The sequence below is a fragment of the Homo sapiens genome, chromosome 4 (genome assembly GCF_000001405.40).
Source record: "Homo sapiens chromosome 4, GRCh38.p14 Primary Assembly".
Taxonomy (NCBI): domain Eukaryota; kingdom Metazoa; phylum Chordata; class Mammalia; order Primates; family Hominidae; genus Homo; species Homo sapiens.
Genome location: NC_000004.12, coordinates 17,902,866 through 17,916,356, shown reverse-complemented (window position 1 = coordinate 17,916,356; position 13,491 = coordinate 17,902,866). Strand labels below are relative to the sequence as shown.

The 13,491-nt window shown below is 36.9% G+C and overlaps 1 protein-coding gene and 1 pseudogene across 20 annotated transcripts in view; one reads left to right on the top strand and one right to left on the bottom strand.

The window, feature by feature from the left end:
- The window catches only part of LCORL (ligand dependent nuclear receptor corepressor like), a 180,689-nt gene that overhangs the window by 105,519 nt on the left and 61,679 nt on the right, over positions 1 to 13,491 (top strand). For 17 of the 20 annotated variants that reach the window (NR_136669.3, NR_158566.1, NR_158563.1 and 14 more), the window contains one exon: positions 7,012 to 7,263. The exons of the other annotated variants lie outside the window; for them this stretch is intronic. Coding sequence is in view for 10 of the 17 variants with exons in the window: in XM_047449965.1 (XP_047305921.1) it covers positions 7,012 to 7,263 (252 nt within the window). In the remaining 7 variants the exon portion in view is untranslated. The remainder of the gene's footprint in view (positions 1 to 7,011; positions 7,264 to 13,491) is intronic. 20 annotated transcript variants of the gene reach the window in all.
- KRT18P63 (keratin 18 pseudogene 63) lies at positions 3,320 to 4,733 on the bottom strand (annotated as a pseudogene).

The following is a 13,491-nucleotide window of genomic DNA, read 5'->3' as shown; positions in this document are numbered from 1 at the left end:
TTGATGTAGGTCTTGATGCTTGCTTCACAGAAAGCCAATCACTGAAACAACAGTTATTGCCAAGGAAGGCTTTAATCAGTTGCTGCAGCCAAGGAGATGGGCGCTCAGTCTCAAATCCATCTGCCTGACTAAAACTAAGAGTTTGTATAGCAGGGGAGAAACGTAACAGTGTGTAAGAAAACAAAAATTAGGGAAGGGTCAAGGACGCAATCATGGTGAATGAGGGATTCATGATGTGGTGCCATCATCTGGTGAGTTTCAGTTCTTTGATACTTTCTTTGAGAGGCCTGAAGGTTCTTTTCTGAGGAAGGAACTCAGATAAAACAAATACAAGTTTCAAGCTTTTTAAGACCAGAAGGGGCAATTTCTATGTTTATCAAAAAGAACAGTCTGTGGGGGCAGTTGGGTTGGTTTCACCATGATCCGATCACCTCCCATCAGACCCCAACTTCAACATTCAGAATCACATTTTAACATGAGATTTAGAGGGGACAAACATCTAAACCATATCACAGTTCTTCCTTGATTTTATCTCTTTCTTTTTGCACTTTAATTAACTAGAAGAAACCAGGGGCCACCTTTCACACTTTGCTTAGATATTTCCCTAGATAGATCATCCAATTCATTGGACACATTTTCTACTTCCTAAGTTACTGAAGATAATAGTGTTGTGAAACTCTCCCATTACATAATTCCAGTAATATTTACCTCATTTTTCTAGAGGTTCTTACTCTGCAGCCTTCTTAAAGGCTGTGGCTATTAACAGCTTATTGAAGTTACTTCAGACTTTCATTAATACTATTCCCAAAGGCCACTTCCTGGTTTGAAAGTGACACCTACCTTTTCAGTTTTTTATTACAGCAGCATCCCACTAATATGCACCAAAATCTATATTATTTATGACTCTATAACAGATTACTTTCAAAATTGAGTTTCAAACAACAGACATTTATTATTTCATATTTTCTCTGGGGTCAGTAACCTGAGAATTGCTCAGCTAGTTGGTTTTGGCTCACTTGTTCATGAGGCTACAATCAAGGAGTGAGCTGGGTTGTGGTCATAGGAGATTTGATTGCTGTAGAATGTCTTGCAAGTCCACACATTTGGCTGCTTGCAGGAGGCTTCCATCTTTCTTCACATGAGCCACCTCATGGGACTGCTCATAGTTATGGCTTTCTCTGGAGTGATGAGAGAGAGAGAGATGAAGGGATAGACAAATGAAGGGGAGAAGGAGATAGAGGAGGAGGGAAACAGAAGGGGAGAAAGAGAAAATAAAAGGAGGGGAGAAGAGGGGCAAAAGAGAAAACAACCAGGAGCATCAATGTTCATCAGTGTCCAGTATGAAAACTTCATTCATTTATAACATAATCTCCAAAGTGACAAATACTTGGGCAGTACGCTATTGGTTACACAGACCACCCATGATACAACATGGAGGCTAAGAGGGTATTGCACAGCAGTGTTATATCAGGAGGCAGGAATTATTGAGGACCATCTTGAAGCAGCAGCCACACAGGTCTTTTTAAATTAGTTAACTTTGGGAAGTGAAGAAATAAGGCAAAAAATAATTGTTCTTGTCTGATAGGGGGCAGTAAACCCTATTTCCGGGTGGCAACATTCTTCTAGGCAAATGTTTACTACTAGCCTGATCCTTGTAAAAATTTGAGTTTACAATTCCTAACCTACATCTAGATCTTCAGTTATTTGCTTTTTTGTAGTTATGACAACTTGTGCAAGTGATTTAAGAGGCTGACTAACCAGTCAGCAGCTGAGAAGCATTCTCTTTGTCTGTCTGTCTGTTTTGCTCCCTCTCTTTTGCCAGGTCCTTTGGTCTCAAACATGGACTTATTCCACAATATAGTATAAAGGGACAAAAAGTGAGTGGGTGAATAAAACAGAGTAGCACTATGTATTGTGCTTTAAACTTTGCTGTAAATTCAATCCTAAAGTATAGCCCTAGTCACATGATATGGGTCTAATAATGTCTGTCCTTTATGACAGATATAATCATATTGAATTGATAAAGTGATGATGTTAGTAATACAATTCAGGACAGTTAGCTAAAATACCTAAAAGTAAAGCTGGTATCTCCTTTAAATACATAATACAAAGCAAGATTAGATTTGAAAAAAGGTGAAGAAGAATGTTCATAGAAGCCTTCAAAGATTTCTAAAGATAATCATCAAGCAATGGTATATCTTTGAAATCCTTTCTGCAACATGGATATTTCTTGTTTTGATAATGCACTTTAGTTAGGTTACATGTGCTAATATAATCTAGTTTGGACTAAAAAAGTATCACATGGGTTTATAAAGTATGTCTTTTATATTTTTCCAGTTACGAAGTTAACAAATATGAGGGGACTTTAAAAAGTTCGTGGAAAAATGGAATTCAAAGGTAGAAATAAAAAATACAAAGTTTATTTCCCAACATAAGCTCCATCCAATTCAAGACACTTTTGTAAGCAAGGATACCAGCCATTTAGTCCATACTGGAAAGAACTGGGAATTTAACCATGTCAATGCAATTTTTTTTACGTTATTAACTGAAGAAAAATGGGTGACCTTTAAAGTTTTTTTAAGATTAGGAAACAAAAAAATTAGAAGGCATCAAATGAGGACTGTAAGGTGGACGCCTGATGATTTCCCATCATAACTCTTGCCATATTGCCCTTGTTTGATGAAGGGAATGAGCAAGAGCATTGTTGTGGCGGACACCCTGGTGAAGCTTTCCTGGGCATTTTTCTGCTCAAGCTTTGGCTGCCTTTCTCAGAACACTCTTATAATAAACAGACGTTATTTCTTTGGGCCTCCAGAAAGTCAAAAGCAAAATGCCTTGAACATTCCAAAAAACTGTTGCCATAACCTTTGCTCTTAACCGGTCTGCTTTGGCTTTGACTTGACCACTTCCACCTCTTGGTAGCCATTGCTTTAATTGTGTTTTATCTTCAGGATTATATTGGTAAAGCCGTGTTTCATCACCTTTTACAATTCTTTGAAGACATGCTTCTCTTGAACCCACTGGTTTAAATTTTTCATTGAAAGCTCTGCTGTTGTCTGCAACTGATCTGGTCGCAATGGTCTTGGCACCCATTGAGTGGAAATCTCAGCTTTAATTTTTGAGTCAGAATTGTGTAAGCTAACGTCCGTCAAGATGTCTGTGGTGTTGACTGTCATTCCTGTTGTTAATCACCAGTCCTCTTCAGTTGGGATGCAAACAAAATGGATTTTTGTCCTCACAAATTGATGCGGATGTTCCGTCACTGCAGGCTTTATCTTCAACATCATCTCATCCTTTAAAATGAGTTGTCCATTTTTTTTGACCCCTGAACTTTTTATTGGCCTCCTCCTCCCCAGAGCGGACCCTACTTCTGCTGGCTTAATGTTTTAGAACTTTGGTGTCACTGGTCTCGGGCACCACTTTGCCATCCACTATCCGGTGGCTGGTGGTCTTTTGGATGTTTTGCATGGAATTGCTGCTGTCCAGGGCATCACCAAGATTGAAGTCCTCGCCATCTTCCAGCAGGTGTCGATCTTAGCCTCCAGCTTGACCTTGATGTTTGGCAGGACCTCGTACTCCTGGGCCTGGTGCTGCCTCTTTGCCCGGGTCTGTGCCAGCTCCGACTCCAGGTGCAGGAGGAGCCCATTGAGCTACTCCATCTGCAGGGCATAGCAGGCCTCCACCTCCCTCAGGCCATTCTCCAAGCTGGCCTCCAGATTTCTCATCAAGTCCAGGTCCATCTCCAAGGACTGGACTGTAAGTCTCAGCTGCACGAGCACCATCTCAGCAGCTCCAATTCCGGCAGACTGTGTGGTGATGACTGTGGTGCTCTCCTCAATCTGCTGAGACCAGTAACCTGTCTAGTTCCTGTCGGTTCTTCTGAGCCAGCTCATCGTATTGGGCCCAGATGTCTGCCATGATCTTGGCAAGGTCCTGAGATTTAGTGGCATCTACCTCCGCAGTCACCCTAGAGCTGGCAATCTGGGCTTGTAGGCCTTTTACTTCCTCTTCATGGTTCTTCATGAAGAGCAGCTCCTCTTTGAGAGCCTCGATCTGTGTCTCCAGCTGCAGCCAAGTGACATTGGTTTCATCAGTGACCTTGCAGGAGCCCATAATGTTGCTCTCCACAGACTGGCGCACGGCCAGCTTTGTCTCATACTTGACTCTAAAGTCATCAGCAGCAAGACGGGCATTGTCGATCTGCAGAACAATGCGGGCATTGTCCACAGTATTTGCGAAAATTTGAGCCCTCACGTCCTTGGTGGTCTTGAAGTAATGGCTCCAGTCTCTGACCTGGGGTCCCTTCTTCTCCAGGTGCCCCCAGATTTTGGTCTCTAACTTCTAGTTCTTGGTCTCCAGGCTCCTCACTCTGTCCAGGTAGGAGGCCAAGCAGTCATTCAGGCTTTGCATGGTCTGGCCATTCAGACTTTGCATGGTCTCCTCCTCGTTCTGGATGCCTCCCTTTCCTGCCAGACCCCCGGCCATCCCCACGGCCAGGTCCCCGGACCTCAAGCCGCCCTGGAAGCTGGTGGAGCAGGACATGGAGATCAGGGAACCAGAGCTCCCGGCACCTGCATAGACGCCAGCCACGCTGCTGACCAGCCAGGCACCATAGCTGGGCGCTTGGACGGAGTCCAGGAAACAGTAGCTGGTGGAGAAGGTGGAGCAAGTGGTGAAGCTCATGCTGTCCAGGGAGGAGAGTGAGAGGACAGGACTCAGACTTTGCCAACGACCAAGTTATCCATTTTTAAACTGCTGATTTCTTTAGGCCATTATCCTCATAAGCTTTTTCAAAATTACCAGTGATTTTACCATTCTTCCACCCAAGCTTTACCGTGTAGTTAATATTTGTTCTTGCTTCAATTTTAGCAGAACTCATGTTGCACTGATACTGGATGTTTTCAGACTGATGTCTTATCCTTCTTAGTGCCTCAAACTAGATGCCGTTTACACATGTTATAACAAGTTAGTAGTTTATTTTGGTGCAAAACATTTTTGAAACCTATGCATAGGTTTTTTATAATATGCGTTTTCCATGAACTTTGAAGACCCCTCGTACTTTTACTTATTTGCCATTTGGTGATTTAAATAAAATATAAGTGCTCAGCCTGCATCTTTTTTTTTGTCATATTATTTCTACTAACAGCTAACATTTACTGGACTATTAATATGCCAAGTACAGAGTTAAGTATTTTATCTACAATCTCATATAATCCTTACAGCATCCAGTGAGCAAGCCCCATAAATAGTATCCCAGGTTCTATTATTATTTCTGTCTTAATGAATGTAGAAACTGAGGCATGGAGAGAATATGTAACTAGCCTAAGTTCATAAAGATGGCTAAGATCCCAAACTATAGCTAGGTCTTTTACGCCACTGCCCCAAAACGAATAGTGTCCCTCTTTCCTATCAGGTTCTAAACAAACAATGGAAGTGAAGGATAAAATTGTATTTTTCTTATAGGCCCATAGTTCCCTCTTTCAGATGTTTTTCAGAATTCAAAATTATTTGTTTTGAAACAGGTAATACAATGTTTTGTAATATCTCCAACAAGTCTGAGATAGCACCCTGTGATCAAATATATTGACAGTTATGCAGGACCAGCTTATATCAGCTTAAGTCATGTTTTGCTACCAAATGTGACAATAGTTGTGGTGAGAGTGGGTTTGTTGCCTCTCCTCACCTCCAAATAGTGTATTTTGAAACCTTCTTGTATTTTACAGCCATGGACCAACTAATGATAGATGCTGTTTGGAAGACTTCTCTTTAAGTCTTTTAGACAAGTATTTTAACTAATACTGAAACACAAAACTAGGGAGACTTCCACTTCAGTCTCTGACAGCCATGGATCAGAGAAAGCCTATTCATATAACACTGATCTACCTGAGTAAGGGTTTAGACATTTAAGGAGTAGAGAACTAGTATCTCTACAAGTAGGCCCGTTTCTAAGAGGAAAAAGTATATCCCTACTCAAAAAACAAGTTTCTCTAGTCATCTTTCCCAATTTACCAATCACCTTACATCTAAAGGGGCAGAATAAATAAAGGGAATGGAGCCAAACCAGAAATGTGTGTGTAAAAGCCACCACCCCCAATACTAAATCTCTGTATCGCTATTGTGCACTGTGTATATAAGTGATCTGTTCTTATCCCACACTTCTTACTAAAATCATTCAGTTGTTTTACCAATTATATAAGTTTCAGACAGAGTTGTATTATTACTGTTGAACTTTATTATAGTTGTACTTGATCAAAATGTTTTGGTTAAAACTCTCAGTGATATTCTCATTTTACAGAAGTATCTTAGGATATCCGTGCTGAAATATTTAGAAGTAAATTGTAATTATTCTACAGTTTCAGTGGTTCTACAAATAAAAATAAAGTAAAAAGAAAGCTAATTTGGCAGACTAGTGACAGTTCTTGAATATTAGTGGAAGCTATGTCATTGTACTATTCTTTCATTTTTTATTTATAATCAAAATTTTTCTATATAAAAAATCAAAAGAAAATCCTTGATGATGAAATTCAGGTTATATATGAAATGCACATTTTATAGAATTGAATTTAATGGATACAGAATTATAAGAATTTAGACGTTTTCCTAGTTAATGCATGCACATTGTATATTAGGATAAAAATTGGTTACTTATACAATTTATATTCACATACTGAGTGTTTTAATGTCTAGTAAAATATATCTGAATGAATATTAAAACTCTTGAGAATAAGTTGTTCCGCTTCTATGTCTAATTCTTTATTTGTATTTTAGTTTGGGACCAGAGAATGTTTAATTGTAAGAAGTAATTAAATATGCCACATTTTTGGTTGATATATTATTATAAAGCTGATTAAATCTACAAAGCTTTTATTGCTAATTCCCAGAAAACATTGGGAGTTATGGACTGATGCTAAAAGACTTCTGAAGTCATTAATTTGTAATAAAAATAAATTTAAATGTTGGTGATTTGCCTTTCTCTTTTTAAAATGATTATTATATTTATTTCTTCCCTAGATCTTCCTCAGAACTGTGATCCTAACATTCCCCTAGTTGCTCAGGAATTAATGAAAAAGATGATACGTCAATTTGCGATTGAGTACATTTCAAAAAGTGGTAAAACTCAAGAGAATAGAAATGGTTCAATTGGACCAAGTATAGTATGTAAAAGTATCCAAATGAATCAAGCAGAAAACTCCCTTCAGGAAGAGCAGGAAGGCCCCTTAGACCTCACTGTGAATCGAATGCAAGAACAAAATACTCAGCAAGGTAAGATTTTTTGTGTGCATTTAATATATAATTTGATGTTTTATATCGTTAAATGTATATTTATAACTTTTTATATTCATAGGGAAATTTATTTTGGATGTAATATGACTTTTAATTTGCTTATGTAATATGTGCTGGAGAGAAGTACCTATTTACAGCTTTTGTACTTGCATCTTTGTTTATAAAAGAGAAAATCTGAGTTGCTCTCAACTCCTTTTGCAATAAAGTGTATCCTAATAAACAGCTTAAAAATAAAGCATATAAACAAAGGATATAAATAGATTTTTATAAGAAATAATTATTTTTATAGTGGAAAGCTGAAAACAGTAAGCACTTGCTTGTTCGTTTTTTTTGTATTTAAGTGAGAAAAAAATAGATTATTTATCTTCCAGTTGTTTATAATATAACTTGGAACAGAGGAAATGGAATGTCTGTGACAAATATAATGTTATCATGTAACTAACTATATGGAGAAACATTGGTCATAAGGAACCTGAATGATGAAGACCATGTTGGACTTATAGAGTTTAATTAAAAGAGAACCATAACTTCACAGAGGAAAGGCAAGAAGAAGAGCCTTTTAAGTGTGTGCGAAGGACTTAAGTGTTTATCAGAACAAAGGACAATTTAGGTAGCTTTTGTTAATATGGACTAGGAATAGTATTGTCAGTCTTTGAAGCCATAAGAAAAAAGTCATCATTAAATTTGATTCCAGAAGGCAGTGATGTTAGTTTGGGGCTCTTAAGAAGAATATACTAGTTAGGCCAGGCGCGCTGGCTCACGCCTGTAATCCCAGCACTTTGGGAGGCCGAGGCAGGTGGATCACCTGAGGTCAGGAATTCAAGACCAGCCTGACCAACATGGAGAAACCCCATCTCTACTAAAAATACAAAATTAGCCGGGCACTGTGGCACATGCCTGTAATACCAGCTAGTCGAGAGGCTGAGGCGGGAGAGTTGCTTGAATCCAGGAGGCAGAGGTTGCCGTGAGCCGAGATCATACCATTGCACTCCAGCCTGGGCAACAAGAGCGAAACTCTGTCTCTTAAAAAAAAAGAAGAATATACTAGTTAGTGTTTGAAGATACAGTCTTTTCAGTGTGTAAATCAGATTAAAATTTAGAGGGGCTGAAATATGGGAATAATTATTCCTTTTTTGTTCCCTAATACTAGGTTGCAAGTATTTATGTGACAATATCTGACAGATTTTAAGATAATAGCTTATAAGATAGGGAAAGAAATGTCAAAAGATAACTATGATATCGCATGGGTGTCCAACCTTTTGGCTTCCCCGGGCTACAATGGAAGAAGAAGAGTTGTGTTGGGCCACACATAAAATACACTAACACACTGACTATAGCTGATGAGCTTTAAAAAGCCGGTGGGGGGGTTCCCTGTGTTATTTTTATGATATCTGCCACCACAGATGGGTAAAAAAAATCCTCACAATCAAAGGGTTGGACACCTGTGAAGGCTTAAGGAAAAAAATATCAGTACTTAGAATTTTGGAACTCGGAAAATAGAGGATTTTTAGAATTTTTTTTATTTGCTTTTCCATGCCTTATATTCCCTTATATCTCCTCTCCTTTTGGGGATTTCTGAAGAGACTAGAACATAGGCTTTGGTATGTGACAGACTAGTGGTTGAAATCCCAGCTCTGCTACTTACTTAAGTTACTTGAACAAGTAATGTTACCTGTCAGACCTTTAATTTCTTCAATTGTAATTTGGCCATAATAATAATGGACCCATTGGAACAATGTGAGAATTAAATATTTAGTAACAAACTCATGAAAGATTCTCAAATACTACTCTCACCGCACTGTCTACCCCCCGTTCCTCATCACCACAGAAGAAGCCTTAGAAGTAACGTGATAGTGATCTATAAATACTTGTATGGCTGTTACAGTAACGTAGGACTGAGTTTTCTGTGAATGGTCCAGTGAGTTGAGTTAGGATCACTAGCTAGAGGTTAGAGGGAAACAGATTTCAGGTCTAGATAAGAAAGAATATTTCTAAGGAAATTGCTAAGGAAGGAAGGAATGATTCCCTGATTGCCTTGTCATTGGAGGTATTGAAAAGCATCAGATGAGTGGTTAGAATAGTTGGCATTTTGGCCGGGCATGGTGGCTCACACCTGTAATCCCAGCACTTTGGGAGGCTGAGGTGGGTGGATCACGAGGTCAAGAGATCAACATCCTGGCCAACATGGTGAAACCCCGTCTCTACTAAAAATACAAAAATTAGCTGGGCGTGGTGGCACATGCCTGTAGTCCCAGCTATTTGGGAGGCTGAGGCAGGAGAATTGCTTGAACCCGGGAGGCAGAGGTGGCAGTGGGCCAAGATCGCGCCACTGCATTCCAGCCTGGCAACAGAGCAAGACTCTGTCTCAAAAAAAAAAAAAAAAAGGCATTTTAAAAGTAAATTTCCAGTCCTTAGATCTTTGATTCTATGAAGTTAAGTGGCAAGACAGATCCATGTATATGTAGAACACAAGTCATGTAATTATTTAAATTATTGTAATAGTCTAAACAAAGTGCAAATATATGTGAAAATCCTGAGTTTGGAAAGAGTAGTGATAGTGGATATAAATCTATAACTAGTCTTCTTGATAATTTTAAGTTTTTGAATGACTTATTGTCATATGTGATTCTAGTCTTCTTGAGGATAGAAATTATTTAGTTTAATGTGGTTTGAGGTATAGAGGGCACGGGGAAGAGTGATGGTAGATGAAGCTAAAGAAGTAGGTAGGGACCAAATTTTGACTTTTCTTAGGGTCATAGAAAGCTACCAGACTGAAAGTAACAAGATCAGATTTTCTTTTATGAAAGCATTCTGCCATGGTATGGATGGGTAGTTTCTTAAAATTTGTCTACTTGCATACCAAACAAGGAAAAATGAAGCACATACCCTTTGATGCATTTGTGTGTACATATGGATGTGTGTATATGTACCCACTAACACAGTATGTGTACCAGTCTTTCTATAAATATTTTAGGATTTAAACAAAGTTGTTATAAACAATTTTTAAATGTCTTGCTAATCATGATGACTTCACTGCCAGTATCTTATTGAATGATAATATACTTTAGAAGAGTTTCATTAACAATGATAGAAAGTATAAACCCATATTTCACATAGCTTCCTTAAGAATTTAACCTTTTTTTGGCCTGATTTCACTGTTTTTACTTCATAGTATAGTCAATGAAGAGCTCATACTAGTGATAGCAGTGTCAGTTATGCCTTTTTTTATGTTGCTATTTGCTAGTGCTTACATTTTTCATATTATTCTCACTCTGTAATTTTTTAGCAATACTCATTTAAGCCAGTTATTTATTTGGTGAGTTGCTTTATTCAAATTAGATGACAATCCATAAATCCAATAGATAATCTATCCATAAATGATGTAGATACATTTATGGATAGTATAAACCATAAGTTTATGAAATTCTCCATGCCAAATAGTTTTATAGGTAACTTTATATACTCTTAAAGCAACAAATAATTCCTATTTTGTGCTTTCCTTTTTTTCTACTGTTTCAAAGAGTAGAAAAAAAAAGAAATGTTGGTATAATCTTGATACGAAAACCAGACAAAGATAGCAAAAGAAAGAAATATTTCAACTTACAAACCTAGATGCAAAAATCCTTAATAAATATCAGCAAATTGAGTAAAGTGAGGTATAAGAACATAATAAATAATGACTAAGGAGGCATGGATGATTAAGCATTTGAAAACTTTTCTTAATTTTCTAAATTAAAAATTATGTCCTAATAGATACAAAAAAAGTTATTCTACAAAAGCTGATATATTTATGATAAAAATATCAAACAAAGAATAATAGATGGGCACTTCCACTACCAAAGACATTATAACCTAAAGATTTAAAATAAAAGATAACACAAAAAATGCACACTATCATCAGTTTTAAACATTTGATGAGAGGTCCTTACTCAGCCACCCAATCAGAAAATCTAGTTTTAAAAAAGTTACATTTGCAATAGCTGCAACAACAGGAAAAACAGTGAAATGCCTAAGAATGAAATGGATAAACTATGTCAGGTCTTATGGAGAATATTATAAAAATATATTGAAGGAAGTAAAAGAAGACCAGCAAAATGAATGATTATACTTTAAATGAATGTGAGGACTGATGCTTACAGATTCAGTGTCATTCCAGGCAGAATTCTGACAGGATTTGTTGTTAAATGTGGCTTGCTGATCCTAAAATTTGCAAGCAAGACTTAAAGAGCCAAGAGTAACCAAGTCAAGGTGATAAATAAAGTCTTGCTAAACGTAGCAGCATTAATTAAGTGCAGTAATTAAAACAGGGTGCTATTGGCCAGGATAAAAATAAGTAGGACAGATCAGTAAGCCCAGAAGCTCCCAAACATTAGTGGAATCTTAGTGCAAGACAGAAATGTCATTATAAATCACGGGGAAAGATACTGTATTCATAAATAGTTCCAGGGCAATTGATTACCCAAAAGGGGGATAAGGGGCGGATCCCTACCTTACACCACTCATAAAAGTAGTTCTAGTTGGGTTTAAAAGCTAAATGTGAAAAGCAAAACTAAAAGAGAGGAAATTATAGGATAATATCTTAATTCAAAGTAGGGAAGAAGTTCTTAAAATGCAAGAATCACAGTCCATACAACAATTTTGTATATTTGACTATACTCAAATCTAAAACTTAAGTATAAAGTCACTGAAGAAAGTGAAATGTCAAGCCTCATCTGTAACTGATGTATCTAGAAAGCATTCAGCTAACAAAACTACAGCCAGTGAGACAGACAACTGATAAGAAAAATAGGCAAAGACAAGTCTCAGAAGAAGATATTGGAATAGGCAAATAAGCAAAGAAAAAGATACTTATAAGAATATCTTGCCTAGCCTCCTTCCCTATATAGGATTCTTTTATTCTATATTATAAGAGATGGTAATTCAGCCTCTGAGTGAATAAGTATTTACCAAAAATCTTTGACAACTCTAATAGTTAGGCTCATATCTATGAAGAATATACTCATTGTTTTATATTTTTTTTATCTGCAACAGCGTTTTACTTTACTGTAAATACTTGTAAAAATTATTATGTCTCCAAGACTTCCCTTTTCCATGATAACCTTTAGGGTTTTCTTCCATCTTGTTTTGTTTTTCTTTCTGCAACAATATGAGAAACTCTAGTCCTTTGACATAGTAATGCTGTAAATGTTTGTTGAAACTATTAGGTTTCTTCAAATGTCTGTTTACTCTACAAATCTTTTCAACTTCCTTAATTGTTCTTCATAAGTCAGTTTCCATCCTCCTCATTGTCATTGCCTTCTCTTTCACAAACTCTACACTCACTTAAAATATGGTTACCCTGAGGAAAACATGCCTATTTTCCTCTCCATTGTACTTTCTATCCAGGCATTTCAAATATTTGAGGATATTTCTTTGTGCATTTTAAATTATTTAGATTTGTATAAATACTCTGAGCCTCAGAAAGTGGTAGAAGGGTGAGGCATGCATTGCCTATACCCAGGATTCTTTTTTGTCCTAGTACATTGAGTTAAGAAACAGATATAAATAACATTAGTGTGTCAAGTATATATTTTTTAAATATCAGTTTTAATCTAGGGCCAGAGTAAAAACTCCTAAATTCCAATGTACAAGAAGAAATTTGCAACTTAGAGACCTTTATCATTACTGTAACAACTATGAAGCATAGGCAATCCTATACAGAACAAGATCAGATTGGGCAGAGATGGAATACTTCATTAACTTTGTTAATACAGTCTTCTGCCATAAGATCCGATGAATATTCTGGTAGAACTTTCATTATAGTAAACCTCTCAATGCATTGTAATTGTTTGCATGTTTATCTGCCTTTGGGAGCAGGAAACTTGTCTTTTTTCACTTTTGTGTCTCCACTGCTTGGTATGGTACACAGTATATTGGATTTATTTATTAAATTAAAAATCTTCACCATCCTCAGACGCCACAGATAACTAAAATGAGAGTTGAGACTTGACCATTGCATTTAGGGCGTTTCTGCAGTGAAATTTTCCATTTTAAACATTTTGGTTGCAAAATATTCTGAAATATACTTTTTAATACTTTTTAAAATGCCATGTGGAACATTGTGTCATGATAATGGACATTAACTATTGTACCACCATGTAATGATTTGAAAATTTTAGGATTATTTTCTCTTAATTAGCAAGAGATGAGTAAGATTTTTTTTTAATT